General features: G+C 55.3%; 4 protein-coding genes across 18 annotated transcripts in view, besides 7 other annotated features; 1 reads left to right on the top strand and 3 right to left on the bottom strand.

Moving 5' to 3' along the window:
- Nucleotides 1-2,067: 2,067 nt before the first annotated feature.
- On the bottom strand, nt 2,068-4,065 carry SDF2L1 (stromal cell derived factor 2 like 1). Its single transcript, NM_022044.3, has 3 exons — nt 3,844-4,065; nt 3,309-3,505; nt 2,068-2,473 (listed from the first exon to the last, which is right to left on the bottom strand). The coding sequence occupies exons 1-3, from the start codon at nt 4,028-4,030 to the stop codon at nt 2,192-2,194; spliced, it is 666 nt and encodes a 221-aa protein (NP_071327.2). The 5' UTR covers nt 4,031-4,065; the 3' UTR covers nt 2,068-2,191.
- Nucleotides 3,827-4,256: a silencer, noted in NCBI's record as "silent region_13512". NCBI's record gives its function as "represses an Ori minimal core promoter by ATAC-STARR-seq in GM12878 lymphoblastoid cells {active_cell/tissue: GM12878}" and the evidence as "EXISTENCE:reporter gene assay evidence [ECO:0000049][PMID:35858748]".
- On the bottom strand, nt 9,038-13,607 carry CCDC116 (coiled-coil domain containing 116). 6 transcript variants are annotated; one of them, XM_047441169.1, is made up of 5 exons: nt 13,540-13,607; nt 13,114-13,387; nt 11,797-12,345; nt 10,704-11,682; nt 9,038-9,935 (listed from the first exon to the last, which is right to left on the bottom strand). In XM_047441169.1, exons 2-4 carry the CDS (start codon nt 13,381-13,383, stop codon nt 10,723-10,725), a joined length of 1,779 nt encoding a protein of 592 aa, XP_047297125.1. In that variant the 5' UTR covers nt 13,384-13,387; nt 13,540-13,607; the 3' UTR covers nt 9,038-9,935; nt 10,704-10,722. The 6 variants fall into 6 exon arrangements, with proteins under 6 accessions (XP_047297125.1, XP_006724222.1, NP_689825.2 ...); XM_006724159.3 differs by having other exon boundaries at nt 11,101-11,682; NM_152612.3 differs by having other exon boundaries at nt 11,101-11,682; nt 13,114-13,247.
- Nucleotides 13,376-13,875: an enhancer, noted in NCBI's record as "H3K4me1 hESC enhancer chr22:21986781-21987280 (GRCh37/hg19 assembly coordinates)". NCBI's record gives its function as "activates a minimal SCP1, AML or CMV promoter by ChIP-STARR-seq in naive H9 embryonic stem cells {active_cell/tissue: H9 hESC(naive)}" and the evidence as "EXISTENCE:reporter gene assay evidence [ECO:0000049][PMID:30033119]".
- Nucleotides 16,119-16,398: a silencer, noted in NCBI's record as "silent region_13511". NCBI's record gives its function as "represses an Ori minimal core promoter by ATAC-STARR-seq in GM12878 lymphoblastoid cells {active_cell/tissue: GM12878}" and the evidence as "EXISTENCE:reporter gene assay evidence [ECO:0000049][PMID:35858748]".
- On the top strand, nt 16,345-18,278 carry YDJC (YdjC chitooligosaccharide deacetylase homolog). Of its 6 annotated transcripts, none has more exons than NR_163922.1 (5): nt 16,345-16,516; nt 16,606-16,824; nt 16,960-17,059; nt 17,180-17,357; nt 17,580-18,278. NR_163922.1 is itself a non-coding variant. In NM_001017964.2 (5 exons), the coding sequence occupies exons 1-5, from the start codon at nt 16,353-16,355 to the stop codon at nt 17,947-17,949; spliced, it is 972 nt and encodes a 323-aa protein (NP_001017964.1). In that variant the 5' UTR covers nt 16,345-16,352; the 3' UTR covers nt 17,950-18,278. The 6 variants fall into 6 exon arrangements, 2 of the variants coding, with proteins under 2 accessions (NP_001017964.1, NP_001358279.1); NM_001017964.2 differs by having other exon boundaries at nt 16,606-16,765; NR_163923.1 differs by lacking the exon at nt 17,180-17,357.
- Nucleotides 17,309-17,398: a silencer, noted in NCBI's record as "silent region_13510". NCBI's record gives its function as "represses an Ori minimal core promoter by ATAC-STARR-seq in GM12878 lymphoblastoid cells {active_cell/tissue: GM12878}" and the evidence as "EXISTENCE:reporter gene assay evidence [ECO:0000049][PMID:35858748]".
- Nucleotides 17,904-18,511: an enhancer, noted in NCBI's record as "H3K27ac-H3K4me1 hESC enhancer chr22:21982145-21982752 (GRCh37/hg19 assembly coordinates)". NCBI's record gives its function as "activates a minimal SCP1, AML or CMV promoter by ChIP-STARR-seq in naive H9 embryonic stem cells {active_cell/tissue: H9 hESC(naive)}" and the evidence as "EXISTENCE:reporter gene assay evidence [ECO:0000049][PMID:30033119]".
- Nucleotides 20,715-20,983: a silencer, noted in NCBI's record as "fragment chr22:21979673-21979941 (GRCh37/hg19 assembly coordinates)". NCBI's record gives its function as "represses an EF-1alpha promoter that drives an FKBP-Casp9 reporter gene in an ReSE screen in HepG2 liver carcinoma cells and K562 erythroleukemia cells {active_cell/tissue: HepG2 | K562}" and the evidence as "EXISTENCE:reporter gene assay evidence [ECO:0000049][PMID:32094911]".
- UBE2L3 (ubiquitin conjugating enzyme E2 L3) overlaps nt 22,333-25,952 on the bottom strand; it is a 74,588-nt gene continuing 70,968 nt past the window's right edge. For all 5 annotated transcript variants that reach the window (NR_046082.2, NR_028436.3, NM_001256355.1 and 2 more), the window contains one exon: nt 22,333-24,852. Coding sequence is in view for 3 of the 5 variants with exons in the window: in NM_001256355.1 (NP_001243284.1) it covers nt 24,698-24,852 (155 nt within the window). In the remaining 2 variants the exon portion in view is untranslated. The remainder of the gene's footprint in view (nt 24,853-25,952) is intronic.
- Nucleotides 22,622-23,155: an enhancer, noted in NCBI's record as "H3K4me1 hESC enhancer chr22:21977501-21978034 (GRCh37/hg19 assembly coordinates)". NCBI's record gives its function as "activates a minimal SCP1, AML or CMV promoter by ChIP-STARR-seq in naive H9 embryonic stem cells {active_cell/tissue: H9 hESC(naive)}" and the evidence as "EXISTENCE:reporter gene assay evidence [ECO:0000049][PMID:30033119]".

Genomic DNA, 25,952 nt, shown 5'->3' with positions numbered 1-25,952 from the left:
ACTTGCCATCAGACCGCCTCAGGGTGGACAGGGGGATGCCCAGGGCAGCACTGGAGTACATGGAAGACCACTGAAAAGGTTAAGATTGCACAGTGGCGGCTGGGCGCGGTGGCTCATGCCTGTAATCCTAGCACTTCGGGAGGCCAAGGCGGGCAGATCACGAGGTTGGCAGATCATGAGGTCAGGAGATCCAGACCATCCTGGCTAACACGGTGAAACCCCGTCTCTACTAAAAATACAAAAAAATTAGCCAGGCGTGGTGGCAGGTGCTTGTAGTCCCAGCTACTTGGGAGGCTGAGGCAGGAGAATGGTGTGAACCTGGGAGGCAGAGCTTGCAGTGAGCCGAGATCGCGCCACTGCACTCCAGCCTGGGTGACAGAGCGAGACTCCGTCTCAAAAAAAAAAAAAAAAAAAAAAAAAGATTGCACAGTGGCATCCACCTGTAATCCCAGCCACTTGAGAGACTGAGGCAGGAGGAGGCTTGAGCCATGCAGTTCGAGTCCAGCCAGGACAAAACAGTAAGACCCTGTCTCAAAATAAAAGTAATACAACTGTAATCCCAGCACTTTATGGGGGCAGAGGTGGAAGGATCATTTGAGCTCAGGAATTTGAGACCCACCAGGGCAGCACAGTGAGACCTTGTCTCTACTAAAACAATTTTAAAAATTAGCCAGAGAGGGCAGACACGGTGGCTCATGCCTATAATCCCAGCACTTTGGGAGGGCGAGGTGGGCAGATCACCTGAGGCTGGGAGTTCGAGACCAGCCTGGCCAACATCATGAAACCCCATCTCTACTAAAAATGCAAACATTAGCTGGGCGTGGTGGCACGTGCCTGTAATCCCAGCTACTCAGGAGGCTGAGGCAGGAGAATGGCTTGAACCTGGGAGGCGGAATCTGCAGTGAGCGGAGATTGTGTCACTGCACTCCAGCCTGGCAACAGAGCAAGACGCCATCTCAAAAAAAAAAAAATTAGCCAGGCATGGTGGCACATGCCTGTAGTCCCAGCTACTTGGGAGGCTGAGGTGGGAAAATCACTTGAGCCCAGAATGCGGTGAGCTATGATCACTGCCAGTACACCAGCCTGGATGACAGAGCAAGATCCTGTCTCATCAGAAATAATAATTAGATGGGCATGGTGGTGTGTGCCTGTAGTCCCAGCTAGTCAGGAGGCTGAAGTGGAAAGATCACTTGAGCCCAGGAGTTCAAGTTTACAGTGAGCTATGATCATGCCACTGCACTCCAGACTGGGCAACGGAGTGAGACCATCTCTAAAAAAGCAAAACCGGCCTGGCGCGGTGGCTCACGCCTGTAATCCCAGCACTTTGGGAGGCCGAGGCGGGCAGATCACGAGGTCAGGAGATTGAAACCATCCTGGCTAACACAGTGAAACCCCGTCTCTACTAAAAATACAAAACAAATTAGCCGGGCACAGTGGCGGGTGCCTGTAGTCCCAGCTACTTGGGAGGCTGAGGCAGGAGAATGGCGTGAACCCAGGAGGCGGAGCTTGCAGTGAGCCGAGATAGTGCCATTGCACTCCAGCCTGGGTGACAGAGCAAGACTCCGCCTCAAAAAAAAAAAAAAAAAAAAAAAGCAAAACCCAGGCCGGGCATGGTGGCTCACACCTTTAATCCCAGCACTTTGGGAGGCTGAGGTAGGCAGATCACCTGAGGTCAGGGGTTCGAGACCAGCCTGGCCAACATGGTGAAACCCCATCTCTACTTAAAATATATATATAAAAATTAACCGGGTGTGGTAGCAGGTGCCTATAATCCCAGCTCCTCGGGAGGCTGAGGCAGGAGAATCACTTGAACCCGGGAGACGGAGATGGCAGTGAGCTGAGATTACGCCATTGCACTCCAGCCTGGGGGACAAGAGCGAGAGTTCGTCTCAAAAAAAAAAAAAAAAGCAAACCTCCCCCCCGCCCCCCGAAAAAAAAATAATAAAGGGTTTGGACAGATTCAGCAGTCAGGCTGGGCTGGAGACAGGTTTTGCACTGAGGAAGAAATGATCAACTGGGCCTGGGCTGGCACCTCCTGGTCATCCTCAGGCTCACAGTGAAACGCAATCATAGACCAACATTCTTTAATCACAAAGGCACTTGAGGACCCCTACAAACCCAAAGTCTCTGCCAAGAGTGGCCCTGCAGACGCCCCACCTGCCACCCTCCATCCACCCATCCATCCACACACTCAGAGTTCATCGTGACCTGCAGAGGGCTCCACACTAGGCTTGATGAAGATGCCTTCCATGGCCTTCCACGTATTGTGCGTGTTGGCACTGGGCATGCCGTGGACCTCATGCTGCCCACGGATGGGGCTTCCATACTGCTCACCCGTGACTGACAGGAACACAGAGGTGCCCACATGCTGGAAGCGCACAGCAGCCTCACGCTCCCAGTGCTGTCCAGAGCAGCGCACTGTCCATAGGTCCAGGTCGTCGCCCTCGCCGTCTTCCCCAAAGGCACTCACCTCCTATAGGTGCAAAGGATGAGAAGACAGTGGTCACCACAGAAGGCGGCATTCGCACCTAGTACACCGAGCCTCGGGTTCTTCCCTACCCTTCCTGGAGCCTCAGCTCCCACAGCTGCAAAAGGTGACACCATGACCCGCCCCCGCAACCTCTAGCACTCCCTCCCCAGCATGGGCTCTTCAGACACATGCACACACCATTGCATCTGTCTGTGCAGAGACCACTGGTCCCCACGGAGCTAAGGCCTCCTCCTCCACATTTTCCCAGTCCTAACCCCTCTGACCTACCTTCAGCCTAAAATTCAGCCCCTCAGGCTAACAGTCAAGCTGTCTATCTATCTCAAACATTTTCTTCCACCAGCTCCCCAAGGGCACCCACTGTTCCATTCCAATCCCCTGAATTCCAATGACCTCCATGCATTGGCACAATCTCTTCTGCTGGCCTGGGAAGTCTCTCTTTCCCCTTTGTGGCTTGTAGGACTCCTAATCATCCTTTCAGATCTAGCCTGAGTTCCTCCTCCCCAGTGGAGTTTCCTATTCCCCACCCTCAAGGCTGTGTGGATTCCCCTCCTGGGTCCCACTTGCCACCAGAGGAAGAGCTATCCAGGCGTATCTCTCCGGATCTCTCTCCCGTCGTTCTCCCTGCCGGGCCGGGAGCACCTGAGGGCAGGATCCTGGCGGAGTTACTCTGTGTCCCCCGAGGGGGCGCTCAGTAACCATCTCTGAAGTGAAATTTCCATTTCACGAAGAAGCTGAGGCTCGGATTGGAACCCAGGGCTCTGTCTCTGGCCCCTCACACAGGCCAGGAGTCTCTCTGGGGGCTCCGGGAGGGGCTCACCTGGTTGTTGGACAGCGGCGACGGGAAGTGGTGCGTGTGCAGGTTCTTGCCCGTAAGCACATGCGTGAGCCTCACCGCCTGCCCGCAGCGCACCGGGGACCCGCGCGGGCACCCGCCCTCCGAGCCGCCGCGGATCCGCCAGTAGCTATTGGCGTCGTCCGACGCCTCTACGCCGGTCACCGATTGCTGGCCGCTGCCTGAGGAGTGACACCCCACACACCCAGGGTCTCCGTCAATCGCGGAACCCCGGACCCTCGCCCTGGGACCAGAACATGTCCCAGGGGACCCCAAGGGCTCACCCCCAGCCCCCGCCTGACACCCCCTCAGTCTTTGGGCCCGCAGTTCCCCGACGACCGTCCCCACCCTCAATATCCTCGACACCCTCAAAGCTTTGGCCCCTCGACCTCCCAACGACTCTAGAGCCCCCGCCGCCCGGCTTCCAGACGGCCCACAGACCCCCATGACCACCCTGTCTCCACACTCCCAACCCCGAGCCCCGGTTCCCCGCGCTCTCCCAGTCGCTGGCCCCACGCACCGGATCCGTATTTGATGTCGTGCGAGTGCAGCCGCACGCGGTGGTGCGTATTGAGCAGCTTCAGCACCGACCCGCAGGTCACGAGCTCCGCACCGGTCTTGGCGGCACCACCGCCCGGCACTAACAGCGCCAGCAGCAGCCCCAACAGCACCGGCCAGGCAGCCCCGCCGCGGCCCGCGCTCCACATCGCCCCGGCCCGGCTCCAGCCCCTCGGGCCCAGGGGCCGCTTCCGTCCCCGCCGCGGCCCAATCCGGTTCTGACAGCGCCCGCTTGCGGCAGCCAATAGTCGGCCCGCGCGGCACTCCGCTTGCACTGCCACTGGGTCAGCGCGGGGAGGGCCCGCCCCCGGTTCGCGAGAGCCGTAGCTGGGCGGGGACTGGAGACACGAGGAGGGTTTTGATTGGTCCACGCTTCCGAGGACTTACCAATGAGTGCCCAGGGAAGGGCGGCTGAGTCTCCGAGCCGCGGAGAGTGAGCGTGAACAGTTGGTGAAGACGCGGCTCCTCGCAGCCGGTGAGTCCCTGGACACCGGCTCAGGATCCTAGGACCCTGCAGGCACGTTTTCACGACGCCCCTTGATCCTGGACTCCTGGGCACTCAGTAATGAGTCTCTCCCCTCAGAACCTGGGCCCGCAGCTGCAGGGTCTTGAGGTTGTTGGATCGCTAGATTTTGTGGTCACAAAGTCGACAGATCCCGGGGTCACTGAATCGGGATCAGTCCTTAAGTCCCTGGACCCCGGGATTAATGAAACCTCCAGTCATTCGGCCCTAGGCCCTCTCTGATACTGGGTCACCACAGTCCCTAGACCCTGGGGTTTCTGAATTCCCCTGGCCACTTATACATTTGACTCCTTTCGTGGCTAAATCTCGTGGTCACTGGGTCATCGGGCAGGAGAGGGCAGCAGGGAGCTGTAGCGTTGAGAATAATGGCAGCTTCTCACCAGAAAGTCCCAAAGCTGTCTTAGGAAACCAGAGTCAAAGGAGACCAAGGGGCTGTGGGAACCATGCCTGGGCGACCGTGTCCCAGGTCTCCTGGCCATGAGTAGGTCTCCTTCTTGCCGCCTTCTCAGAGTGTTGTCAGCTCAACCTTCAAGGGAGGAAAACTTACACCTCTGTTTATTTATTCATTCATGGGACATTGTTACAGCAGCTTCACTCCAGATCCTGTGGGGTCACAGAGCAAATAGCTCTGGGCTCAAGAGTCTGACTAGGGTGTAGTTGAAGCACAGGCAAAGCAGAGAGAAAAGTTCATATTTAATTAAATCATCCAGAATTTTGCGTTCAGAAAATCCAGAGTAAAGCCATTTTCATTACAGCAACATGTTATTTTGGGGGTTTCGTGTTTAATACTGTTTTGATTTTGAGTTACATGTAGTATAAGACACCTTGATCTTTTCAGCATTTAGGTGTCCAAACGGTTAAAAGTCAGTCTGCCCTGGATTTGGTAGTCCCTGCACTTGAGGGGTCTCCAGTCTAGGGTGGAAGAGCTGAAGTACTATCTGAGAGGCGATGGATATATACTCTTGGACATGTCAGCCATCATCTCAAAATCAGCACATCCAAAGCAGAATTCCTGGTCTCCGCCCTCAAACTACCCCTCCCCCAGGCTTATGAGTCTCAGTAAATGGCACCTCCATTCTGCAGATGCTCAGGCCCAAAACTTGGGATTCTTCTTTCATTCGTCTCTTTACCTTGCTCCTCACATCTCATTCAACAATTTTTTTTTCTTTAATACGGAGTTTCGCTCTTGTTACCCAGGCTGGAGTGTAATGGCGCGATCTCGGCTCACTGCAACCTCCACCTCCTGGGTTCAAGTGATTCTCCTGCCTCAGCCTCCTGAGTATCTGGGATTACAGGCATGCATCATCACGCCCGGCTACTTTTTTAAATATATTTAGTAGAGACAGGGTTTCACCATGTTGACCAGGCTGGTCTCAAACTTCTGACCTCAGGTGATCCACCTGCCTCAGCCTCCCAAAGTGCTGGGATTACAGGCATGAGCCACCACGGCACCCAGCCTTTTTTTTTTTTTTTTTCAAACTTTTGAGTCTCCCATGTGCATCATTCAAGAAGTCTTTTTTTTTTTTTTTTTTTTTTTTTTTTTGAGACGGAGTCTTACTCTGTCACTCAGGCTGGAGTGCAGTGGCACGATCTCGGCTCACTGCTGCAACCTCTGCCTCCCGGGTTCAGGCAATTCTCCTGCCTCAGCCCCCTGAGTAGCTGGGATTACAGGCATGTATCACCACACCCAGCTAATTTTTGTATTTTTAGTAGAGACGGGTTTTCACCATGTTGGCCTGGCTAATTTGTGTACTTTTAGTTGAGACGGGGTTTCACCATGTTGGCCTGGCTGGTCTTGAACTCCTGACCTCAGGTGATCCACCCGCCTTGGCCTTCCAAAGTGTTAAGATTACAGGTATAGGCCGGGCCCGGTGGCCCACACCTGTAATCCCAGCACTTTGGGAGGCGAAGGCAGGAGGATCACCTGAGGTCAGGAATTCCAGACCAGACATGGTGAAACCCCGTCTCTACTAAAAATGCAAAAATTAGCCAGGCATGGTCTCATGTGCCTGTAATCCCAGCTGCTCGGAGGGCGGAGGTGGGAGAATCACTTGAACCCAGGAGGCAGAGGTTGCAGTGAGCCAAGATCGCGCCACTGTCCTCCATCCTGGGCAATAAAGTAAGACTTCGTCTCAAAAGAAAAGTGGTAAAAGCATAGATCAAAAGATCATGCCAGTTCCCTGCTAGAACCTGCCAGCCATTTCCCAATTGCATTTAGGACCGTAGGAGGCTGAGGACACAGCAGGCAATCTTCCTGACAAGCAAGATAGGATTCTAAGTAGGCTGAGATACCAGACCCAGAGTTGGGGAAGCCAACGTAGCACTCCCTTGACTCTCAGGGGCAGCCTGGTCGCCTCTCTTTGCTGTTCCCTTCTCCGGCCTCCTGCTGCAGACCACCTTCCCCTGCTCACCCTATGGGCAGCTCCTCAGGGCTGATTATGGCATCTCCAGTGCCCTCCACCTACCAACTATAATTTGTCTTAAGGTTCAGGTTCTCAAGAGAGAATCTGATTGGCTCAACAAGGGCTGCTCAAGGTACAATCAGCTGTGGAGAGGAGGAAGGGTGGTAGCTAGTCTCCAAATATGACCACTAACAATTCCTCCCATCCCCATAAGCCAAAGAAAAGACATGGAGTCCATTTCGCCTTTCCTTGAATCTGAGTAGGTAGCGCAACTTGTTTTGTTTTGTTTTGTTTTGTTTTGTTTTTTTGAGACGGAGTCTCGCTCTGTCGCCCAGGCTGGAGTACAGTGGCGCGATCTCGGCTCACTGCAAGCTCCGCCTCCCGGGTTCACGCCATTCTCCTGCCTCAGCCTCCCGAGTAGCTGGGCCTACAGGCGCCCGCCACCGAGCCCGGCTAATTTTTTGTATTTTTAGTAGAGACGGGGTTTCACCGTGGTCTCGATCTCCTGACCTCGTGATCCGCCCGCCTCGGCCTCCCAAAGTGCTGGGATTACAGGCTGGAGCCACCGAGCCCCGCTACGCAACTTGTTTTGACCAATCGAATGCCGAAGAAGTGCTGTTTGGGGACTTCTGAGCACCGGCCATAAGAACGCTGGCAGGTCTGGCTTTATCCTTCTAGGAAGCTAGAGAATGCACCTTACTGTAATGAAGTGCCAGATTACTACGTGGTAAGAGGCCACATAGAGAGGGACCCTGGAATGCTCCAGCCTCAGTTCAATGAGCAGCTGAAAGCAGTCACATGAGCAACTCCAATGTACACCACTACTCCACTGAGCCGGTCAAACTCCAGTGTTGGGCGGGGCACAGTTGCTCATGCCGTTAATCCCAGTGCTTTGGCAGGCCGAGGTGGGCGGATCGCTTGAGCCCAGGAGTTCGAGACCAGCCTGGCCAATACAGTGAAACCCTGTCTCTATCAAAAATACAAAATTGGCAGGGCGCAGTGGCTCACGCCTGTAATCCCAGCACTTTGGGAGGCCGAGGCAGATGGATCACGAGGTCAGGAGATCGAGACCACCCTGGCTAACACGGTGAAACCCCGTCTCTACTAAAAATACAAAAAAATTAGCCGGGCATGGTGGTGGGTGCCTGTAGTCCCAGCTACTCAGGAGGCTGAGGCAGGAGAATGGCATGAACCCAGGAGGCGGAGCTTGCAGTGAGCAGAGATCACGCCACTGCACTCCACCCTGGGCGACAGAGCAAGACTCCGTCTCCAAAAAAACAACAAAAAAAATTTAGCCCGACATGGTGGCGCACGCCTGTAGTCCCAGCTACTCAAGAGGCTGAGGCAGGAGAATCCCTTGAACCCGGGAGGTAGAGGTTGTGGTGAGCCGGGATCGCACCAAGGCACTCCAGCCTGGGCAACAGAGCAAGAATCCATCTCAAAAAATAAAAATAAAAATAAAAGCCAGGTGTGGTAGTTCATGCGTGTAATCCCAGCACTTTGGGAGGCTGAAGCGGGCAAATCAACTGAGGTCAGGAGTTCGAGACCAGCCTGTCCAACATAGTGAAACGCCATCTCTACTAAAAATACAAAAAAAATTAGTGGCCAGGTGTGGTGGTTCATGCCTGTAATCCCTGCACTTTGGGATGCAGAGGTTGGCGGATTACTTGAGGTCAGGAATTCGAGACCACCCTGGCCAACACGGTGAAACCCCGTCTCTACTAAAAATAAAAAAATTAACTGGGCATGGTGGTGGGTGCCTGTAGTCCCAGCAACTCAGGAGGCTGAGGAGGCAGAATTGTCTGAAGCCAGGAAGTGGAGGTTGCAGTGAGCTGAGATCATGTCACTGCACTTCAGCCTGGGAGATAGAGCAAGACTTTTTTTTTTCTTTTTTTTTTTTAGACACAGTCTCACTCTGTCACCCAGGCTGGAGTGCAGTGATGCAATCTCGGCTCACTGCAACCTCTGCTTCCCCAGGTTAAAGCCATTCTCCTGCCTCAACCTCCCAAGTAGCTGGGATTACAGGCACCTGCCACCACACCTGGCTAATTTTTGTATTTAGTAGAGACAGGGTTTCACCATGTTGGCTAGGCTGGTCTCCAACTCCTGGCCTCAAGTGATCTGCCCACATCAGCCTTTCAAAGTGTTGGGATTACAGGCATGAGCCCGGCCAAGACTTCATCTTAAATATAAATAAACAAATAAGTAAATAAATAAAATGGCGGCTGAAATCTCAGGACAGCAAACCTGTGTCCCAGCAACACAGGCTTTATTTCTATTTCTTTCACTGGCTCCCTTGAGAGTCTCAGCAGAGCTCCTCGTGGGCATTCAGCCTGTGGTGACTCCTGCTCTTGGCAGGGGCTGGTGTGATGTGCAGCAACTCTGACAGAGCAGGGAATCGAGTGGCTAGTGGGGACTTCATGGTGGGTCACCGTGGCCCACGTCCACGGAGTGGCTGACCGAGGCCTCCTCTCCAGGCTCTGGGAGGCTCTAGACTCCATCCTCATCCTTGTCCTCATCCTGGTCTTCATCCTTGAACTCATCCTCATCTTCATCTTCAATCTCGGCTTTATCACGGCCCTCATTGTCCATGTCCTTGGACTTGGGGGGACTGGAACCCATGCCGGTGCAGGCAGACATGTAGAGCTTGGGCTCCAAAGGGCTGAGCTGCCGGCTGGCTGGCAAGTTGGTGTAGAGGGAGCGGCAGGGCTCTGTGGCCTGGTCCTGGGCAGTGTGGGTGGCTGGTTCCTGCTGCACAGAGGGTGTCTCTGTGCTGCAGTGGGAGGTGCTGAGCCGGGAGGCCTGCCGGGCCCTTTTGGACTCCTCCAGTTTACGCAGCAGGCAGCTCCGGTGGGTCTCCGAGGACAGGTGGATGCGGGAGCCTTTTACCTTCTTTAAGCCCAGGGAAAGGTCCCTGAGCACGTGGGTGATGGGGAAGGAGAAGAAGCCCAGCTGCTTACTGAGGTCCTTTTCGAACTCGTACTTGCGGATGACCAAGGAGGCTGCCTGCTGGGTCAGGAAGTCGGCGAGCTCCTCATAAAGGCGGTTGGAGAAGTGAGACATGCTGGACTTCGACGAGATGGAGGGCAGCGGCTTCTTCTTCGTGAACCTGCTGCTGCTGCAGGGGCTCTGCATAGCAGCCGGGGAGGGAAAGGGACACATGTCACACCTGCCAGCCCCATCCCTCTGTGACACCCCTTCCAGCCACTGTGCCCTCCTCAGAGCCCTGCCAGCCCTGCCCATCACAAACATGAATGGGTACCCTTAGTGTGACAAACACATTTGCCACACGAAGGGTACAGCCTTACCACACCTGCTATGCTGTTGCACTCAACTGCCCACTCTCATGCTCACCTCGCCATCACACCTCCTACAACTGTTGGGCCTGGGGCAAGGGCAGGGACCTGTCACAGGGTAAGGCTAATCTGAGCCTTGACAACTGGGTTTGGGCAGGCTCCTGCCCAGGCCTGTGCCCAGAGACAGCTGCAGGGGCCTTGATGGCTGAGGAAAGGGTCGAGGGACCGTGCTGGAGACCCACCAGTGTGAGGCCACCTACGTCTTGTACACATCCTCCCTGGGCAACTTCCCCTCAGCAAAGTCCAGGGACTGGAGAGTCCTGCTCGAGGCAGCTGGATTCAAGGGAGCTAGACCTAGGAGGCAAGGCCCCGGCTGGGCTTGGGCTGCTGTCCACAAGGGACGGGACTTTCCACCCCCATGTAGGAGCGTCTCTAGATTCACATACAAACGTTAGAAAAAATACCCAGCATAAAAAATAGCCTTTATTTATCTGTGACAACACCTGGTAATAGCTAGGCCAGGATTCATGGGCCCCCATCAGCTTGACCCCTGCCCAGGAGGTTTCCACAGTGCAGGGCAAGAGACCTTGACCTTGAGCACCTGTTAGTGACAGTGGCTGCTAGGAGTGGTGGGTCAAGGAGCCCTTCTCCTGCAAACTCATGCCCGGTCCTACTTTTGAGGAGGTCACCTCTGGACACAGTGAGGCGGGAGATGAAGAGGCAACTGGAGAGAGCTCAGGGAGAAGGTAGCAGGAAGAGCGGGGGTAGGGGGAGGAAAGTGGAGGTGTGACAGGGCCCCTGAGGTGGCCCTGGCTGCAGGCCACCTCCACCACAATCCCTGGCGTGGGCAGGGTGAGGTGCAGGCCCTGCCAGGGCTGGGCCCTCTGGCTGGAGCTCAGGGAAACAGGTGGGTTTTGTAATTTGGGATCTGAGTCAGGTGCCTCCTCCCTGGAGTGGAGTGAGGGGCTGGGGACATTGGGCTTCTCCGTGGGTGTCACCTTGAGTTTGAATCTGGTGGCCACCTGGGCACTAGACATGGAGGGGGAGCCTCCTCTGTCCTTGCGTTTTCTCTGAAGCATCTTGGGGCTGGAGACTGTGGGGCGGGGGGAAGCATAGGGCTGCCCGCCATTGGTGGGTTTAGCTGGCTCAGAGCCCAGAGGCGGCAGATCTGAGGTGGGCTCCAAGCTGGTGGGGAACAGAGGACGGCCGTCGCGGCAGTGGGCGCCACGGAGCTTATCCACAGCCTGGCTGACCACGCTTTGCAGGGCAGGGAAGAGGCGGTGGTCAGCCAGGAAGTTCAGCGTGCGATGGGGCTCACGGAGCGGACAGTAGCCAGGCAGGTCGAGGGACTCCAGCTGGCTCAGTAATGACTTGATCTCCTTATTGAACTCTCGCTTGCGGAAGATTGGCTCCTGTTCTCCAGGCCTCGGCTCTGATGCTTCAGGCACGCCAGAGCTTGAGCCCAGCAGCCCTGAGAACCAGGACAAGGGCTGCTCCTGTGTCCACTGAAAGCTGGTCTGGCTACCCAGCGAATCCCACAGCAGGGAGTCCCTCTGGGAGCAGGACTGACTGAGGCCTTTCTGCAGAAAGAGGGTGACTCTGTGAAGTGTTCAGGAGCAGCCAAGCCAGGGCTGACCCTAGCCCTGGGCTCTCCATGGGAGTCCACCCCACCCAGCCATGGCCCTGGCTCTCACCCCTTCCCTCTCCAGCTGTAGCAGCCGCTTGAGGTTCTTCTCCAGCAGGAGTTTGTCCCTCACAGGTGGCAATGAGCCTTGGGCACCTAGGTCACTGTCCCGGCTGTGGGAGCCCAGACAGCCGGCCATGAGGCTGCTATGGCAGTTGGACATGGAGCTGGAGCTGGATGGGTAGTTGTTGGGGTGTCCAGTGCAGAGGGTCGGCCGTACACGGTGCCGGTGTACGGTGCTGAGGCTGGGCCGGGCATGTGCCCGCCGTCCACCACTTGGCACCTCCACTGGGTCCTGCACCTCCACAAGCGGCACCCCAGCCTCCGTCTTCATGGCAGCCATGCGCTCAGTCGCCTTCTCCACCACTGTCTCCAGGCTGTCCAGGACCTGGCTCTCAGTTAGGAAATCCAGAAAGTGGCCAAAGGGCTGAGGGTGCCTCTTGTTTCGGCGTTGGCCCTGGAGTGCTGAGCTGCCACATGTGGATGGTGGGTGTGGCACACGGCCCGGCTTGCAGGCTGGCCGCATTTCTGGGACCAGTGGCTTCTTGGGCAGCTGCACCTGAGCAGACAGGTATGTCACAGGGGGCAGGGGTGCCCTACAGGTGAAGGGTTCCCTGGGGTAACACTAGGACCTGGGTGGGAGTGAGTAGTGGAAGGAGCTGCATTTTGGAGTCTGGAAGCCCTGGGTTTGGACCCTGGCTCTGCCACCTACAGCCTGATGCCAGTGTGCAAGATGGCCCCTCTTGAGGTCCAATGTCCTCATCTGCAAAGTGGAGGTCTATTCAGGGTCACCCCGAAGCTTTCCTAACACCTACATTTCACACACACAAGTCCTGGCTAAGGAGTCTGCAAGCCTGCTTCTGCCCTGACACGTGGCAGGATGAGCAATCATGAATCTCTCGGAGTCTCCCTCCAGCTCCTCATCTGTCCATGCAGCAGGCCATCCCTGTATCCATGGCAGGGCTGCAAACAACATCTGAGGTCTTGAGTGCAGACAACACCTGAGGTCTTGAGCCCTGTGCTACCCGGGCCTGTTTCTCCAACTTGAGCCATAGGCACCTAGTCAACTCCATGCTCCCACTCTAGGGTCCCAGTCCACCCAAGCACCTTCTGGGTCGCTGGAAGTCAGGAGGAAACAAGGAATGAAATTGAGTGTGACAGGGGCAAGCAGTGGGGGACATAGGAGAAGTCAAGGCAATAAGGACTTCACTAAGAGGCCCAGAGAAGTCAATAGACAATGAGAAATGGGGGTTGTGGTCTTGGGTGCCAGGGTTGGTGGGGAACATGTTGTGGCCTCAAGGGTCGGCGCCCTGCTGGGCACACTTACCCGTGCACTGCACATGGAGTGGCTGGCCTCGTCATCGGCCAGGTAACCCGAGTGGTGGCGGCACCTGGCCATGTGGTCACCTGGCAGGTGACCGGGCCTGCTGCCCACCTCTCTCTTCAGCTGCGCATTCCTCTCTGCGTGGGGTGGGGAGACAACCTGAGGGTCTCCAATAGGTCCACGCATCTGTGGCCCTGGAGTCTGCGGGTCCCTCGCTCCCCGCACCCCGCCTCCTTCATGCATCCAGCCCTTCCTCTGCTCCATGGCCCCCATGCGTCTGCAGGCAGGCAGTTTCCAGAGTCATCGGGGTGGAATCGCTGAGGACAATCCTGTCTCCGATCATCTTTGGATCTGCGTGTGCTCGACCCGCCCTCCTCCCAAACCCTGGGCAACCTGGCTTTCACCCCAGCCCAGAATCAACAGACTCACCAGAAACACCGCCTTGCTCCGCACAGGCCAGTACAGTCTGCGCCCTCACTGGAGCAGCTGCACAGTGCGAGGAAGTCGGCTGGCGGCCTCCACTTGCTTATTTGCATACCACATCCTCATTGGTTCTTACCGAGGAGCTCGTCCACTTCCCTCTCCGACACAATGGTTGGGGGCGGGGCCCACATTGGCCCCACCTCCAATTCTCTGGGCTCTGCCCTCCCACACTCGCCTGGGAGCCGCAGGCTGAGGATGCTGGTGCCCACGCTCCCCGCTGCCGGGAGGACCCCCCACCCACCACCGAAGCTGGGGCTAGGCTCTTTGATCTGCTCCTGCCCCGAGGGGAGCCTAAAAGCCAAAGCCACGTCTTCCACCGGTGGCACAAGCACCTTCCTCGTGTCCTCCTTGGTTGCTGCGCAGCCCTGGGCCTCCTGCTCCTGTTCGTTTCCAGGGGCCTCTGCCCTTCCCGCGGTGTGCACAGCCCCAGGTTCTGCCTTGAGACCTCTCCCCTCTGCAGTGGAAAGAGTGCCGGCTCTAAGTCACAGACCTAGCTTCAGTTCCTGGCTCTGCTCTTTCCTGCCAATGTGACTCAACCTCTCAGCATTAGTCCCACACTGTAAATGGGCTTGAGTGTTCTTCCAATATGGGAGTATGGGATTCAATAAAATCTCCCTACAGCACACCCAGTAACCCAGTGGAGCCTTGTGTATTCTTTAATTAATTAATTTATTTATTTGGAGACGGGAGTCTCGCTCAGTCGCCCAGGCTGGAGTGCAGTGGCGCAATCTCGGCTGACTGCAAGCTCCGCCTCCCGTGTTCACGCCATTCTCCTGCCTCAGCCTCCCGAGCAGCTGGGATTACAGGGGCCCGCCACCACGCCCGGCTAATTTTTTTGTAGTTTTAGTAGAGATGGGGTTTCACCGTGTTAGCTAGGATGGTCTCGATTCCCTGATCTTGTGATCCGCCTGCCTTGGCCTCCCAAAGTGCTGGGATTACAGACCTGAGCCACCGCGCCCAGCGGAGCCTTGTATATTCTTACCTCCTCTCCCTCCCTCCTTTTCCCCTTTGCTCAGTAATACCCCACCATGGTGTCACTTCTTCCAAAAACCTTTTACTGTGAATTCTGCCACGCCCTACGCAATTCACAGTAAACCCCATTCCAGACTCTACCATACCATGTTGCTACTTATTTTTCTATCAGATGGTGCTTCTTTGGGGCCAGAACAGAGGCAAGTCACCCTTAATCTCTAATACTTTCAGTGTCTGGCACCAAGTAGGTGCTCAATAAATGTCAGTCTCCTCCTTCCCACCTGCAGACCCTCGGGACCTCTGACCTTTCCAAGATCAGCTTCCAGTGGAGAACGGTGGTTGGTTGAGGTCTGACAATTCACCAGTCACTATAAACACATCAGTCCTTATGCCAAGAGCATGGCTGAAGGACTCTATGAGGCTTTCAATCCTCACATGCCTCACGAAATATTGTTCCTCTCAAGCTCTGCTCTGTCCTCTCAGCTCTGGCTACCCACTAGGTCAGGGACAGAGAGGACATAGCAGGCCTGGGTGCTGGCCCCGAGGTGTGAGGTTCAGTCTTAGCTCCACTACTCCTGGCAGGACCACACTTTCGCTCTCTGAACCCCAGTTTCCTCATCTGTGAAACAGGAATGACATTACCAATTTCATAGCCCGGACACAAATACCACACTTTCCATGGGAAAAATCAAGACTGTCACATTGCAATGGAAACTGTGGCTGCCAACCATAATGACTATTTATACAGTCATGGGTAAGGAAAGCTTTTCTGGACCAAAGAGAAAACAGTGAAGTTATGAATGTAAAAGCTGTAGCCTGGCAGAGAGCTCAAGATGGAAACTGGAGATAATGTTTTCTCAAATGAAGCCTTAGTGTATATGCTTTCTTTCATTTTCTTAGTGTCTAGAGCTCAAGAAAAAAAAAAAATCAACAAATCAAGAAAATGCCTGCTCTTAGAAAAATCTGCAAAAGATCAATAGGCAATTTGAAAAAGAATAAAAATAGCTAATAATATGAAAATTTTCATTCGCACTGCTAAGAAACTACTAGAATGTGATAACATTGATATAATCATCTTTATGTTCTCAAAACAACACACAAAAAAGTTGGGTTGGGGAGAAAGGGAGTTGGGTGTGTTTATTTGCTTAGAGAAAACACTGGAAGGACACAACCCAGAAAGTTTACAATGGCAATCTCTGGGAAGGGTAGGAGATTCTTTTTTTTTTTTTTTTTTTTTTTTGAGACGGAGTCTCGCTCTATCGCCCAGGCTAGAGTGCAGTGGTGCGATCTCGGCTCACCACAACCTCCGCCTCCCGGGTTCAAGCCACGCTCCTGCCTCAGCCTCCCGAGTAGCTGGGATTACAGGCGCGTGCCACCACTCCCGGCTAATTTTTGTATTTTTAATAGAGACGGGGTTTCCCCATGTTGGCCAGGCTGGCCTTGAACTCCTGACCTCGTGATCCACCCGCCTCGGCCTCCCAAAGTGTTGGGATTACAGGCGTGAGCCACTGCGCCCGGCTTCCTTTTGATATTTTACATATTAAATATCACTTTTGCAGTCAAGGAAAGTTCCGCATTGCAATGAATCCATCACTGGTCTGGTTAGCGCGGGAGCAGTTGCCGGGTCCTTGCAGGGGCACGCCGGACCGCTAGGTGGCGAGAACAAAGGCGAAGTGCAGCCGCACCTGGGCGTGTGCGTCGGGGCGGGGCCCGGGCAGCGTCCGGGGGCGGGGCCTGGGCTGTCCGGCCCACTCCCCTGGGAGCGCGAGCGGTGGACCCAGGCGGCCATGTCCCGCCCTCGCATGCGCCTGGTGGTCACCGCGGACGACTTTGGTTACTGCCCGCGACGCGATGAGGGTATCGTGGAGGCCTTTCTGGCCGGGGCTGTGACCAGCGTGTCCCTGCTGGTCAACGGTGCGGCCACGGAGAGCGCGGCGGAGCTGGCCCGCAGGTGAGGGGAGGGCCTCTAGCAGGGCGGCGATCGGCTTGGGGCGCGCGGCTCCGCGGCCGCTAGTGCTCCAGCTCGCGCTCCGCCCTCAGGCACAGCATCCCCACGGGCCTCCACGCCAACCTGTCCGAGGGCCGCCCCGTGGGTCCGGCCCGCCGTGGCGCCTCATCGCTGCTCGGCCCGGAAGGCTTCTTCCTTGGCAAGATGGGATTCCGGGAGGCGGTGGCGGCCGGAGACGTGGATTTGCCTCAGGTGCGGAGCCGCAGCTACAGGAGGATGCTCGCGAGGACCCCCAGAGCTCCGCCCGGAGGGTACTGTGAGGCCGTTAGGAGCTGGCGGTGGATGACTTCCGCATTCAAACACTGGAGCCATCACACGGAAGCACGAGGAGGGTATCCTCGGCAGCTACTCCCGGTCGCTCAAGGTGTCTCTCGCTCGCCCTCTAGGTGCGGGAGGAGCTCGAGGCCCAACTAAGCTGCTTCCGGGAGCTGCTGGGCAGGGCCCCCACGCACGCGGACGGGCACCAGCACGTGCACGTGCTCCCAGGTGCGTGGTTAGTGATCCCAGTTTGGAGGGCGTTACTCCCAGGCGGGGCTGGGGGAGTAGGGGAAGTTCGATGCCCCCAGGTGAAAGGACGTGCTCCTCCCTGACCCGCTCCGCCCGCAGGCGTGTGCCAGGTGTTCGCCGAGGCGCTGCAGGCCTATGGGGTGCGCTTTACGCGACTGCCGCTGGAGCGCGGTGTGGGTGGCTGCACTTGGCTGGAGGCCCCCGCGCGTGCCTTCGCCTGCGCCGTGGAGCGCGACGCCCGGGCCGCCGTGGGCCCCTTCTCCCGCCACGGCCTGCGGTGAGGCTCCCCGCCCCGTCTCCTACCATAGCTGCCTCTGTCCCTCCGCACTGGCTGTTCACCTGGCTAGCTGTGTCCGTTTCTCAACCCGGAAGCGAGTCTGGCGTCGACCGCTGCCGCCACCCCAGTTACCCCCTCCCACCCCGCCGTCCCTTCCCTAGCCTACCTAGCCCTTGGCCATGGCCCGGCCTGGTCCCACCTCTGATGTCCCGCCCCCCACAGGTGGACAGACGCCTTCGTGGGCCTGAGCACTTGCGGCCGGCACATGTCCGCTCACCGCGTGTCCGGGGCCCTGGCGCGGGTCCTGGAAGGTACCCTAGCGGGCCACACCCTGACAGCCGAGCTGATGGCGCACCCCGGCTACCCCAGTGTGCCTCCCACCGGCGGCTGCGGTGAAGGCCCCGACGCTTTCTCTTGCTCTTGGGAGCGGCTGCATGAGCTGCGCGTCCTCACCGCGCCCACGCTGCGGGCCCAGCTTGCCCAGGATGGCGTGCAGCTTTGCGCCCTCGACGACCTGGACTCCAAGAGGCCAGGGGAGGAGGTCCCCTGTGAGCCCACTCTGGAACCCTTCCTGGAACCCTCCCTACTCTGACCCCCTACAGACAACCAAGCACTAATCCCCTTAGTACCAAGAAAGGGGAGCCAGGATTTAGTCCTGGCCCAGCCCAGAGCTGGGACCTGGAGCACGATCTGTTGACTTCCCTGGGTAGGACACTGCCACCTCTGGGCTCAGGTCCTCATGCCTCCAAATGGCATCTAGAGTTTGAGCAGCCTTCTTGGCTGCAGGCAGGCCTAGCCTGTGGCAGCGGGCTAGGGCCCGCAGAGCATTTGGTGCCCCTCCATGTTGCAATGCAAACACCTTCACCACTGGGGCAGTGGGGAGAGATGGCTATATTAATAAAATAACGTGTGTCTTTCAAACTTGGGTGGTTTATCAGCTGTGCCCAGGAGACCCTCAGAGAAACAAGCACGGACAAAGAGCAGCTCCCTCTTGGCTCAAACCACTCCAGGAAATGGCCCATTCTCCATTCTGGTTTTGTTCATGCTGCAATTTTCTTTATTCCTTTTTAGGGTGGGAGTGGGAGATTGTCCTCACCAGGCTGCTTTGGAAGAGGCATAATACTATAATCTCAGTATTGATTTAAGAAGTCACCTGTAGGCTGAGTGTGGTGGCTCACACCTGTAATCCCAGCACTTTGGGAGGCCGAGGCGGGCAGATCACCTGAGGTCAGGAGTGCGAGACCAGTCTGACCAACATGGAGAAACCCCATCTCTACTAAAAATACAAAATTAGCTGGGCATTGGTGGTGCATGTCTGTAATCCCAGCTACTGGAGAGGCTGAGGCAGGAGAATCGCTTGAACCCGGGAGGCGGAGGTTGTGGTGAGCCGAGGTCGCGCCCCTGCACTCCAGCCTGGGTAACGAGCGAAATTCCATCTCAAAAACAAAAGTCATCTGTTTAGATGTAAGCCATTCTACGGGATAGGCGTGAGGAGACCCTGCAACCCTGTGGGAATACATTTAAATTTTTCTAGGAGGAGCAGTCTTCCCGGGAAATGGGATACCATGGTTCCTAACTTCTGGCAATGTAGGGATGCCCTGTGGACTGGGGCCGCATGTGGCTTAGCTGAAAGCTCCTGAGGTGCAGGAGCAGATGGGGAAGGCAGTGCGAGTCCTCTAGAGCACAGAGTCCTTCTGCACCACTCCGCAGGATGGAAAGGCAGATGGAATACCATGTGGTCCTTGTCTCATTTCATGAAATAGCATCTATGAGGCAGGCACCGATGTCCCCATTTTACAGGGGTAGAGGCAGGAGTGGCAGAGCAGGGCTTTGAAACTACTCATTCATTTATTTAATGTGCACTGGGCCCTAGCCTGGGCCAAACATGGAATCAGGGGCCAAGAGAGCTCTCATCCAGCCTAGGCAGCTTGGAGAGACGTGTGGCTTTCTGAAGGGTGAGTGTGGGATGTCGCTCCTCCTTCCTGCTTCTACCCACTCATGGCCCCATCCCCTTGACTGTGGCTTCAGTCCCTTTTTCTGGCTCCACACTCGTCTTCCATCTTGACCTTCACTAGACTTGGACTCTCCCATCTGCAGCACTTTTCCTGCTTTCTTGCACCCATGCTTGTGAGCTGGAATCACTGTACAGTTGCTCCTCCTGCTGCCTAGCCTCCACCTCCTCGCCTCAGCCTGCTGAGATCTGGCCACACTCCTGCAGGCTGCTGGCTAAGGCTGGGAGAGGGGTGGCCTGAAGTTAGCCGGGGATACAGACGTAGCTCCCTTGAGGGGCTTCTGTTATGGAAGTGTTCTGAGAGGAGGAGGCAGCTGGTTGTGCAGCTTTAGGCTCAGGAGAGGTGTGGGTGGGCAGGAGAGACCTGGGGGTCTGCACAGATGCTATATGAGTGGCTACTGTCACTCAGGGAGGGAAGGAGGGATGAGCAGAGTCGACAGCAGCCCTGGGGACCGTGAGACTTTTTTTTTCTTTTTAAAGACAGGATTTCATCCTGTCACCCAGGCTGGAGTACAGTGGCACAATCACGTCTCTGCAGTTCTCCACCTCCCCAGGCTCAGGTGATCATCCCACCATGGCCTCCTGAGGAGCTGGGAGCACAGGCATGCCTGGTTCATTTTTGTATTTTTTGTAGAGATGGGGTTTTGGCATGTTGCCCATGCTGGTCTCAAACTGCTGGGCTCAAGAGATCTGGTCACCTTGGCCTTTCCTAAAGTGTTGGAATTAACAGGCATCAGCCACAGCAGCCGGCTGACCATGAGCATTTGAGTGAAGTGAAGCCAGGCACAGTGGCTCACACCTATCATCCCAGCACTTTGGGAGGCTGAAGTGGGAGGATCACTTGAGCTCTGGAGTTCCAGACCAGCCTAGACAACATACTAAGACCTTATTTCTGTTATTTAAAAAAGAAAAAATAATGGCTGGGCATAGTGGCTCACGCCTGTAATTCCAGCACTTTGGGAGGCTGAGTCGGGAGGAAGGCTTGAGGCTAGCAGATTGAGACCAGACTGTGTAACATGCCAAAACCCTGTCTCTATAAAAAATACAAAAATTAGCCGGGTGTAGTGACACAAGCCTGTAGTTCCATCTACTCAGGAGGCAGAGATAGGAGGATCGACTCAGCCTGGGAGGTAGAGGCTGCAGGGAGCAGTGATCATGCCACTGCACTCTAGCCTGGGTGACAGAGTGAGCCTGACTCAAAAAAAAAAAAAAAAAAAAAAACTGAAGTGAGGGGGCATAGACTGGTAGGATAATCAGGCCCACCTGATTATAATGAGGCCCATCTCACGAGGAGGTGAAAGTGATAAGGACCTGTTGGGGTGGTGACTGGTGGGCCACAGGGGCTGTGGGGGCAGCAACAGTGTCTTAGCCAAGCGGTTCACTGTTATCCGCCCACTCGGCATTCGTGTCTGGAGGGTCCACTCTGTGCTAGGCCAGGGCTGGAGCTGACATGGCCTGGTCTGCAAGGAGCTCCCAGTCTGGTACATACAGGGACAGTCATCCAGTGTCATCCAGTGACACACAGAGGAAGATGTAGGAGAAACCCACGGCAACATGTGGAGCCACAGGGGGGTTTCTGAACCTGGCCAGCACCGGGTGGGGAATGCTCTCTGGAAGTGACTTCCTTCCCAAGGCCTCAGTTATCGCCTCTGCACGGTGGTCCTTTCTACTCTGATCCTCTGAGGCCTCCAGGGTTCCCTAGGGGCCCTCTATGAACAAGAACACGTTCCAATAATCTGGGAAATGGCCACTTACCAGGCATGGACCAGGCTAGGCACTGCACTGCACTGGGAGCAATGGTACCCTCAGCTCCCCTCTGTTCTGGGTTGGTGCCCGGTTCCCCCATGCCATATCCAGGAAGCAGAGAGAGAAGGAAGAGCCAGGCAGGACAGGGTGGGAAATGCTGAGAGCAGCTCTGGCTTCTTTCAGGGCTGGGTTAGATGGCACCAAATGAAAGGAGAAGCAGCAAGGGGCAGCAGGTGACAGAAGTCAGGCTGCAGCGGGTACAGGAGTGATGAAATGGATGCTTATTTCATGCTGAACAATTAATAGTGAACAAGGCCAAAAATGGTGGCTGGTGGCTGTAGGGAAGAGGAAGTTGACAGAGGGGCTTAAAGGTCTCTGGCTCTGGGGAGGGTGGTAACTGGCTGTTTCTGGGCTCAGAGGGACCCTGTGGGAAGAAATATGCCAAATGGTGGAATGCAACAGGCTCTGCAGTCAGAATGTGAACAAAAACAGGCCAGGGGTCTTGGTTGTCTTTAAAAGCAGGGATAAGGATGCCACAGGGCTCTCCTGAGACTCAGAGGGTAAAGTGCTAGGTATGTTAAAGGCTAGTAAAATGACACCCCAAGAAGTTTCCTTCCCCAAGACCTGCAGATCCAGCTGAACAGTGCAGGCCTAGTCTCAGCTGGTGTCAAATTCCAGGCAGGGAAGGCCTAGCCAAAAAAGTCCTGGGTCTGGCTGAGCCCTTGCTGAGTTAGCACCACTGCCGCAGCACCCTGGCAGTGGGCTGTACTGGGGACTCAGAGTGTTTCTGGCTGGCACCATTCATGGACATGGCCCAGCTCCACCCACAGGCACACCCTTATCAATTCTGTGACCTCTTGGGACCGCAGGTTTGCCTCTTCTAAACATGGATTGTTAACACTCCCAGGAGGCTCCAGGATGACCCACGCATGTAAGTGATGCACCCACACTTTAGTCCCTGTCCCCTCAACGAGACGCCCAAGAGCGCCCTCTGCAGGCCCCGACTGTCTGAAGTCTCCGGCTTTCTTGCTGATTATACCTCATCTCCTTCCCTCTAGGGAGGCAGGAACACTTCTATGTACCTCTTTTGGAGAGGCTGGGAATGGGGAGAGAGATCAGAAGCCCCAGGACCTGGGCCCCAGCCAGCCCTCCCATCTCCAAGAGCATAGGCCCCTGGCACTGCCCGCTCCCAGGAAGGAAGAAACCCACACGACTAACCAGTGTCTGAGAGCATTTTTATTACGGGCAGCAGAACGGGATCGCAGCATCTTAGAAAGCCTATTCTCTGCCGTGGTGGGGAGTAGGGAGCAGAGGGAAGGACCCAGCACACTTCAAGAAACCAGGCGGGTGTGAATTCCTGAGTGAGCTTGGGGCAGCAGTGGGTGGCTGCTCCACAGCTCGCCCCTCCTCCAGAGGACCCAGCTTTTTGGTTTTGGAGCAGCCAGGGCTGTTCGCCAGCTTGCTCAGAGCCTACCCTGAAGGCATGGCTGGCAGGAGCAAGCCGCCCAGGCCCAAAGGAGAGACACCCACTGGCTCGAAAGCCAAGCCTCTGCTGACGGGGCCAACCCTGGGGTGCCAGTGCCAGGGCTGAGAGTCCCTGAGGGGCTGCCGGCACACAGGTATCCTCCCGTGATGAGCAGAGTGCAGTGAGGGGTTGACAGGCAGGCAGAGCTACGTTGGCAGAAATACGAAGCAATGGGACAGTTTCCAAGAATGGCAACATTTCTGGATCCAGAGAAGCAACAAGAACAAATGGTGGCTTGTTTGGATAGCTGACAGAATTTGGCATTTTATTACAAACTGGAGTGTGAGTGAAATAAAATCCATCATCACTTTTCTGCTAATGAAGACAGATGTGGAAACGCCAGCCCGGTGCCCTTGCCATCCCGGGCACAAGGGAGTCTCCAGAAACCTGCCCTTGGCGTACCTAGGACAAAAGAAGCCGAGTTCGTGTACACACCGCAGGGGCCATGCGCCTGAACAATGTTAGGCTGCCGAACCTGCCCATCACTCCCCACTTCTGCACAGACCAGACCAAGCTGTCTTACACGCCTGTAGGCCCCGGAAAGATCTCAAGTTATAGAATTAAAATTAAAACAAAAAGCAAAGTTTAAGTCATCTTCTCCACAGGATCTAGTCCCCCCCAAGAGCCAAGAAGGGAAGCCGCCAGTGGCAGAAGCGGGGTTGGTGACACACGGCATTTGGATCGTCGGCTTCCTTGGGGTGTCAGAGCGACATGGATTCTCTACTAGTGCGGGGACAATCCCATTTGCCTTGAAAAGACATTAATATTCAAATCTTTACAAGTTTATCTGACGATAAATTCTAAGGTCAATTTTTATTTCTACAAAAAAAGGCAGTCAAAACAATATAAAACACATTGAAAGGATATTACTGAGTGAGCTTCAAGTGGAGCTTGACTCTGCAAAGGCTGTGAGTCCGAAGGGAGAGGAAGTCCGTCTTGTTCCCGGGCTGGGCTGGCTGCTCTGGAGGAGGGGGTCAGCAGGGGCCCAGGCGACCCCAGACTGGTGCTTTAAATAGCCGAGTCCTGCTAATTCCAATCCTACAAAGGGTCAAAGTGTGCCGAGGGAGGGCTGTGGCAGGGCCACTGCACGGAGGAAGTGGAGAGCAAGCTCCGTGGCACATTCGGATGAAGCTCGGTGACAGATGAGCTAGGAGTTTCAAACGGACATTCTGGCTGTAGCTTTGCCTGCAAGGACCAGCAGATCTTCTACAATGGCTGCAGGGAGAAGTGCCAACCTGGGACCTCAGGAGCCTTTCTGGCGAGATTCATCACACACAGTGTGCACAGCATCCTCCTGACTAGCAGGCCCCCCATTTCGGGGCCACCACAGACCTGTGATTATAGGGCTTCTCTGTGCAGGCCAGGCCAGAGGTCAGTTACACACACTGACATCAGGGCTTGCCCAATTAACTGATGTTACTGTGGTAACATCAGCTGGAGTTTCACACAAGAACTGAGGAGAAGGACTGGAGGAGGGGTGTGGCTGTTTGTTTTTAAATTTTTTAAAAGGATGTTATAAACTGGAGTCAGGAGAATTTAAACCAACTCCCACACTGGGCAACAGTGCCACACATGCTAAGAAAAGCCACCAGGACCGCCAGGGCAGTCTCTTCTCCTTTGTGGAGGCGAGCCCGGGGTCTGGGGAAGTAAGTAAGTGAAAAATAAACTCGGTGCCAGAAAGTGGGAGTGGCAAGGGTAGGGAAGAAAGGGAACCACAACCGTTTTTTTTCCTTTTTTTTAAACCTTATGGGTTAAATGTAACTTGAAGATTTTGGATAAAATTGGACAAGAAAAGAAACACCATTCTTTTGAAGTAGATTGAAGCAGTGATTTTTAAAACAAAGAGAGCAGAACTAGAACATCTTAAATTTTTAATCCTTTCTTTACAGGTTACCTAGACCACTTTTGATTAAGAAAACTGTAGAAAGTTAGTAACTGCCACAAGCGAACGCCAGGCGGTGGCACGTGTCAATTTCCACAGAGTCCTGCTTTGCGGGGTGTCTGAATGCACTGCACGGGGTCTCTGCTCACACTTGCTGGAACCAATCGTGGCAGATTTTAGTCCACAGGTCGCTTTTCCCCATATTTCTTTGTAAACTCTTCAGCATTCTTACAGAATTTTTTACGGTCCTTAGAGTATTCTTCAGCTAGGTCAGCCCGAAGCGGGTGCTCAGGCTGGGGGTCATTCACCAGTGCTATGAGGGACTGGATTACTGCCAAGAGAAGGACAAGGCATGGGGGGTTAACACAGTCTCAGAAATGGCACAGGCAAGAGGCAGCTAATCCGGGAACAAAACTCTGGCTTTACAACTGATTTACAGCTAATGTGCTTTTAAGCCAAAGCTGCCTCCTATTTATCCAAAATTCTGACTGCCAGAAAACTCATCTTTCCTCTGTGATTAGAAGACACTGATGGACAACAAATAGCTAACACTACAGTGGATAATTGTTCACAGTGATGTGCTTCCGCCTCCAGGAAGCCTTCCTGACCTAACACCTGGGGAGGTCTTAGCCCTCAGTCACTCCCAGCCCTTTTTTCTTGGCGGGGGGTTGGGGAGGAGGGACAGGGTCTCACTCTGTCACCTAGGCTGCAGTGCAGTGGCACCATCTTGGCTCACTGCAGCCTCAACCTCCTGGGTTGACCTCAAGCAATCCTCCAGCCTCAGTCCCCCAAGTAGCCAGGACTACAGTCGTGCACCACCATGCCCGGCTAATCCAGTCCTCTTGTGTACTCTGGAGATAGGAGGCCTAGTATTGAACTGACTGCTCACTCTCATGCATGCACACAGGGTCACTTTCTTCAGGGCAGGACCGGGTAGAACTTCCCTGCATCAGCCCAGCACCCAGCACCATGCTCGGCTCAGGGAAGTTTCGGTTAAGGTGACTGAGTGGGCACTAGAGAGAAGGGTATGTGATGGCGCTGCACTTGTCAATGCGCAATGACCCAACTCTGGAAGACCCTTAGGAGTTTCTGAACCCTCTAGAAAGGGTCACTGGGGCCAGCCAATGGGAAGCTGACAACCGCCATCGCATCACATTGTCAAGACCACAGGCAGATGTCACGCTGATGGCTCTGATGGGTGCCACAGTACTCCCCCTAGGTGCCGTAGCCCAGACGTGCCCCAGGGTGGAAGGATAGTGGGGAATCAGAAGCAGCTGCTACCCACACCTCCTCACATACTTTGCCACAGTTGCCCCCTGACCCTGTCAGGACCAGCACCCTCAGAATGTTCCTTCCCACTGTAAAACAGTGCCCCTCTTCTCCGAACTGCTGATGCCACAAATTCCTTCTTATTTTTTTTAGACAGTCTTG

Source organism: Homo sapiens, chromosome 22 (assembly GCF_000001405.40).
Source record: "Homo sapiens chromosome 22, GRCh38.p14 Primary Assembly".
Taxonomy (NCBI): domain Eukaryota; kingdom Metazoa; phylum Chordata; class Mammalia; order Primates; family Hominidae; genus Homo; species Homo sapiens.
This window is presented reverse-complemented; position numbering and strand designations above follow the sequence as displayed.

What these genes read in the sequence shown, in the direction of transcription:
- CCDC116 (XM_006724159.3), bottom strand. Translation starts at nt 13,383, where the DNA reads ATGGGGGCCATGGAGCAGAGGAAGGGCTGGATGCATGAAGGAGGCGGG. An exon ending in ACTCCATGTGCAGTGCACGG is followed by an intron (nt 12,346 to 13,113) that starts GTAAGTGTGCCC and finishes CTGTCTGCTCAG; the next exon opens with GTGCAGCTGCCCAAGAAGCC. An exon ending in CCACCAGATTCAAACTCAAG is followed by an intron (nt 9,936 to 11,100) that starts GTGACACCCACG and finishes GCTGCTATGCAG; the next exon opens with AGCCCCTGCAGCAGCAGCAG.
- SDF2L1 (NM_022044.3), bottom strand. Translation starts at nt 4,030, where the DNA reads ATGTGGAGCGCGGGCCGCGGCGGGGCTGCCTGGCCGGTGCTGTTGGGG. An exon ending in CGACATCAAATACGGATCCG is followed by an intron (nt 3,506 to 3,843) that starts GTGCGTGGGGCC and finishes GTCACTCCTCAG; the next exon opens with GCAGCGGCCAGCAATCGGTG. An exon ending in CGCCGCTGTCCAACAACCAG is followed by an intron (nt 2,474 to 3,308) that starts GTGAGCCCCTCC and finishes TTGCACCTATAG; the next exon opens with GAGGTGAGTGCCTTTGGGGA.
- YDJC (NM_001017964.2), top strand. Translation starts at nt 16,353, where the DNA reads ATGTCCCGCCCTCGCATGCGCCTGGTGGTCACCGCGGACGACTTTGGT. An exon ending in GAGACGTGGATTTGCCTCAG is followed by an intron (nt 16,766 to 16,959) that starts GTGCGGAGCCGC and finishes CTCGCCCTCTAG; the next exon opens with GTGCGGGAGGAGCTCGAGGC. An exon ending in GCACGTGCACGTGCTCCCAG is followed by an intron (nt 17,060 to 17,179) that starts GTGCGTGGTTAG and finishes CTCCGCCCGCAG; the next exon opens with GCGTGTGCCAGGTGTTCGCC.